General features: G+C 34.4%; 1 annotated feature.

Annotated features, from left to right (window-relative positions):
* Positions 296–809: an enhancer, noted in NCBI's record as "NANOG hESC enhancer chr6:129057924-129058437 (GRCh37/hg19 assembly coordinates)". NCBI's record gives its function as "activates a minimal SCP1, AML or CMV promoter by ChIP-STARR-seq in naive H9 embryonic stem cells {active_cell/tissue: H9 hESC(naive)}" and the evidence as "EXISTENCE:reporter gene assay evidence [ECO:0000049][PMID:30033119]".

Raw genomic sequence — 6,122 nt, 5'->3', positions numbered from 1 at the left:
ATTTATCCATGAACTATATCAAAGGAATAGTGAAAAAGGAGGTAAGTCAGAATATTAGTCAGGATAAACAAAACCAACAGGATATTTTATATATATACATATAAACACACATACACACATACATGAATATACGACACATATATATGTGTGTATATAGCTATACAACAGAACATATGTGTGTATATATATATATGTATGTATGTATACACACACACACACATATGTAAGAGGAAATTTATTATGGAAATAGGCCCACATGATTATGGAGACCAAGATGTCCCGTTATGTGCTATGTGCAAGCTGGAGAACCAGGAAAGCCGGTGGTGTAATGCAGTCCAAGTCCAAAGGCCTGAGAACCAGGGGAGCTGATGGTTTAACTCCTAGTTTGAGGCCAAAGATGGTGGAGTTCACAGGAAAGTGGTTTGTATGTCCCAGTAGAGTTCCAAGGAAACCAGAAGCTTCAATGTCCAAGGGAAAGGGAATGTCCTAGCTGAAGGAGAAAGCCAGAGTTTTCACTGCCTTCACCTTTTTGTTCTATTCAGGTGGATCCTTAACAGATTAGATGATGCCCACCCACCTTATTGATGGTAGATCTCCCTTATTTACTCCAGTGATTCAAATGCTAATCTCTTCTGGAAACACCCTTATCCAGAAACCATGTTTTGCCAGCCATAGGCATCCCTTAAAGCAGTCTAGAAGATGCATAAAATTATCACAAGAAATGAAAACAAAAGAGCAGTAAATTTGATTAAATAACCTAGTAAATTTAATTAACTACACTGTATAAATACTAATTTTGTGTTTTAAAAGTAGGGAAATCAAAATTCTTAACTAAAATCACAAGATATGGACATGTTGTAGACTGTTATATGGGAAAATCATGCTAAGATTTTTATTATTTTGTGGTGCAAAACAAATACTAAAAATTATAGAATTGAATTTTAAATTATCGTTACTTAATTATGCTAATGTTGAAACAAACAAAAAGATAATATTTACATGTCAAATCCATAGAGAAAGTAATGAAAAAATATATATGCCTATATATTCATTCAGCTATATTCTACTTACAAGTGTCATGCCTCATGGCTGTTGAAAATACTGTCCTACCACTGTTTTTATTTAAAAAATTTAACAATTACATTGCTATTATTTCAATGCAGGTGTAAATAGAGAATAGTCTAGAGATAGATCTACATGCTTATGGAAAACATATATAACACATGTAATGCAGATCAGTGGTGAACTCATACTGAGTCCGTCCAAGCAGGGTGATGCCTTTGGAGCATCATTCTGTCCATTTGATCAAACATATCAATGCTTTGTATCTTCACTTTTTATTTTGTCTCCCTGAACTATCATTTCCTGGAGAGTTATATTTTTAAAACTTCTACTAAAATAGTGGATTTGTTCCCCTATCATTTCAATCATTTTTACAGCCAATTTAGTGTTTTTTATATCTAATAATGCCTTTTGCTTTAAAAATCTATGTTGTCTCAAAATAACATCACTTTTTTTGATTTAGTATATTTTTAGTCTGTTTTTCTCATCCTTTTACTTTTATGTTTTTGTAATATGAAGTTTATCTTGTGTAAGAAGCAAGTTTTTTTATTCTAATCTGATAATTTTTTGTTAACTAGAAACTAGTTTAGTTCAACCGTTTATATTTATTGCAATTACAGTTGCATTTGGATTTATTTGTACCACCTTCTTATGTATTTTTATTGTTTTCTGTTTATATTTTCTGTTTCATTTTGCTTTAACTAATTTTTGTCTTCTTTTGGATTAGAGTCTTGTTTCTTCATTACATTCTACTGTTAGTTTGGAAATGATACACTTGAGAGACTAACCCATTTATTATATTGTGACTACTGCTGTGTTTGGATTTATTTATACCAACTTTATATGTACTTGTTATTGAACTGAGTTTTTTGTTTTCCTGTTTCTTTTTCACTTTTACTCATTTCTTGTATTTTTGAGATTGGAGTTGGGTTTTCTTCATCACATTTTTCCTTCTACTTGTTTGAAAATTGTACTCTCTTAGTATGCGTATTTTTAGTTATCCTCAATAACTTAAGATGCATTTGTAACAAGGTCTAAAGTGTTGAATCTCATTGTGAAGTCTATTATTTCATCTGGCTCTCTCATACGGTCTCTTATTTATTTCTGTGTGTGTGTGAGTGTGTGTGTGTGGTATAAGAGAGAGAGTTGTTGTTTTTTTTACCTGTACTCATACAGCTGAAAACCTGATATGCGTAAATTCTTGAGGGCATATTTAAAGTTGTATTTCACCCGAGAAGAATTGAGTTTGCTTTTGCAAATTTTTTCCGAAGGCATTACCAACCCTGGACAAGAATTAGCTAAATTCTCCATTTAAGTGTTTTAGAACAACTCAGTGGGAATTTGGACCTCAAACTTACTTAAGGGTTGCTTTTGGACATAAATTGTTATATTCTTTTTTCCCTTCATCCCAGAACAAAAGTTGATACAGGAAAATTTCCTTGCTGTCCCCTTCAGCATTGTGGGTTCTTTAATCTTCACTCAAATCTTTACACTAGAGTCTGAGCTTTGTGAAAGTGTCTGCTGTAAGACTATCGATCCTGCAAAGGTTCTAGGCTTTGTATCTTATTCCCTGCACTCCATGTCTTTCAGAGTGAAAGGAAGTTTTGGCTGTTTCTTACCTCTAGGGTTTCTATTTTCATTTTGTGTTTATTCTTTTTAAATTTCATTCCTTTCTGCCAGCTACGGAATATGTTTCAAGATGTTTAAATATTTTAAAAACAGTGTTATTATTTTATTTGAGAGGGTCATTTAAGGTATTTTACCCACCTTATTTTTGGAAGTAGTAGCAAACCTATATAAGATGATTTAGAACAATTAGTTACTATTATATTTCTCAGAATTTCCAGTAAAAACTTTAAGTGAAATTTCCAGAGATAACTATACTAGTTCCAGTTAGCAGCATAAATGTGCATAACAAATCAGTAAGCAAGTTTAATGTATTGCCTCTGAAGAGAGACTAACACTACGTGGATAGTTTAATAACTTGATGTTCACAAGCCAGGAGTACATCTTCCTGTCCTCTTTGATTTTTAAATTTACTAGATCATAAATTATGAGAGTTAAAAATCCTGAATTCTTGGTATAGATGAGCTTGCTACTTCTTTTGACACTTTAAATATTGCTTCTTTTTTACATCATGGCCCTATAAACATAAGAACAGCAAAGAGCCATTTAATAATTATTCTTTGTTAATAAATAATTCAGACTCTGAAAAGTTGATCATTCTAATTCCCATGACAAAGTTTTCTGTTAGTATTATCCCATTGAAATTATGTGTTTCTTACCTACGGTTTAATAGGCTAGTAATTATATAATTATATCAGGGTATGTGTTTTGCATTTTAATACATCTATTTAATGTTGCACATTTGTAATAAGTGTGGTTTGCTTAAATCAATAGTTTTCTTTGATGTAGAAACACTGCAAAAATAAATGCAAAAATCATTTTTCAAACTCAGATTGTATATCTCAAGTGATTTCAGAGATCCTTTTAATTTTCAACTCAGTTCTGGGTAGTAAGATGTCACAGAGCAATTGATAGGAATCTTACATGATATTTATTTAGAAATATTGCAATATTGAAATGCTAAATGAAATGCTTCACAGTTAAAGCCCAGCCTTCCTCTGAATTTCCTGGGTATAGGTATGGGTGTGAGAAACTTTTACTGTAAATATAAAGCCATCATTTGTGCCTGTTGTATTTGCTCATCTTTTCCTTAGTTGATCCGTTTTCCAGTGTTATCCACAGTATACTTGTGAGTATAATGAAGAGCCATTAAAAATTGCTTTCTAATTAGTTGATACATTTGAGCAAAATTTGATTATGTCAAGAAACAAGCTTATACATGAATAAAAATCAACAGATCTTATAATATTTTGCCAAGAAGATGGCACTTTCCTTCAACTACTGATGAAAATGAGGACAAATGCGAGCCAAACAACATTTAATAGTGTGGTAGCCACATGAACTTTGGTAACAGATTTCATATATCTCATCATTGAAGATTTAAGGGTTTTTCTCAGCAAGGTGGGGAATAAAAATTGTTGGGGCTGGGTGCAGTGACTCACGCCTGTAATCCCAACACTTTGGGACGCTGAGGCGGGTGGATCACCTGAGGTCAGGAGTTTGAGACCTGCCTGATCAACATGATGAAAGCCCGTCTCCACTAAAAATACAAAAATTAGCTGGGTTTGGTGGCACCCGCCTGTAATCCCAACTCCTTGGGAGGCTGAGGCATGAGAATTGCTTGATCCCAGAGGTGGAGGTTTCAGTGAGCCAAGATTGTGCCACTGCACTCCAGCCTGGGCATCAGAGTAAGACTGTTTCAGAAAAAAAAAAAAAATTGCAGAATGGTGAACATGTTGCTCACCAGTATCTATCCAACCAACCAGAAGTACACTGAATATATACAAATCTCTGCAAAGCAGGCATGATGTGTGAAAGCAAAGGAAGAAACAGTAACATAATAGACATGCTGCACTGCTAATAGGTAATAAATAAAGACTACTATGAGGATGACACTTCATGAGGCTTTTTGCATGAATTAATTTCATTTATTTCTCAAAAAGACCCTATGGAATAGATAGTGATATTAGCTCTACTTTGTAGAGGAAGTTATGTCTCCAACTCTTATATAACATTCTTAGTTAAAAAAAAATGTTTTTTAAGCCATATGATATATATTATTATATTCTCTGTGATTAAATAATACGGGGACAATCTTAAAGACACATATTAGGCTACCTAAAATCACTGACTCTAAAATTAAGCCAGTAAATAACTATTCTGAGAACAATTACATAAGAGGAAGAATCTGAATTATACCTAAAATTCAAGCAGGGATACTTCTCTGGATTAAATATTTTCTAACTATAAAAGGAATATATGTTTATTAAACATTTTTAGAAGTGGGCCGGGTGCAGTGGCTCACGTCTGTAATCCCAGCACTTTGGGAGGCTGAGGTGGGTGGATCACCTGAGGTCAGAAGTTCGAGACAAGCCTGGCCAACATGGTGAAATCCCGTCTCTACTAAAAATACAAAAATTAGCCAGTGTGGTGGTGGGTGCCAGTAATCCCAGCTACTCAGGAGCCTGAGTCAGGAGAAACGCTTGAACTGAGGAGGGAGAGGTTGTAGTGACCTGAGATCCTGCCACCGCACTCCATCCTGGGTGACAGAGCAAGTCTTCTCAAAAATAAATTTTTTTTTAGAAGTGAACAACAGAATAAAGAAGAAAATATCACTCATAAAAATAAATCCCATCTATCCAGAATAACCACTGTTAACATTCTGGTACATATACTCTTAATCATATGAATATATTCCTCTATTTTAGATTCTTACAACATTGGAGATACATGTTTTGCAGTCTCTTTTTTTTTACTTAAAATGTTGTAACATTTTCCCTTGACAATAAGTATTGTTCAAGATTATTTTTAAGGCTCCCTTGCATGCAATCACATGATAATGGTATAAATATATTTCAGTAATCCCTTATGATTGGACTTTAGATTATTTCTGCTATTTGCAATAACCATTCTTGTGCATAAACCTGTGGTCATGCCAAGTATTTTTCCTTAGGACAAATTCCCAGCAGTGAAATTGTTAGGTGGACAGATATGCTTTTTGGCCTTGGTATGTGTATCTTTATCACTGGCCTCCCTGCTGGTAAATCCAAATGAGTGTACTGCAGTGTGATAATACAAATGTAGGAGTTTGCTGTTTTCTAGTGTTACTCTCCTAACTGTTTCTCATGTAAGTACTGGGCTAGAGGAGTACGGGGAGATATGAACAGTTCTGTAGTCCCCCTGCTGAATTATACCCTGATCTTGCAGTCTTCCTGCTCTTTCCCACAGAACCAGGCCCTGCCTTCTTCTGGAACTCTGAATACTGGTGCTTTCTTTCATTTGTTAGCCATTAAGAAACCTCTTCCTTTTCCAAGACCTTGCTCTTTCACAAGCATTGGGTCTCTGATGAAACACATCTCTCCTTTCATTTCACTGACTTCTTTCTCAGTTGACAAAGGCAGGATTGAAGATGAACCGCTTGCTGGTTTACTGGA

This window comes from Homo sapiens, chromosome 6 (genome assembly GCF_000001405.40).
Source record: "Homo sapiens chromosome 6, GRCh38.p14 Primary Assembly".
NCBI classification, from domain to species: Eukaryota; Metazoa; Chordata; class Mammalia; order Primates; family Hominidae; genus Homo; species Homo sapiens.
This window is presented reverse-complemented; position numbering and strand designations above follow the sequence as displayed.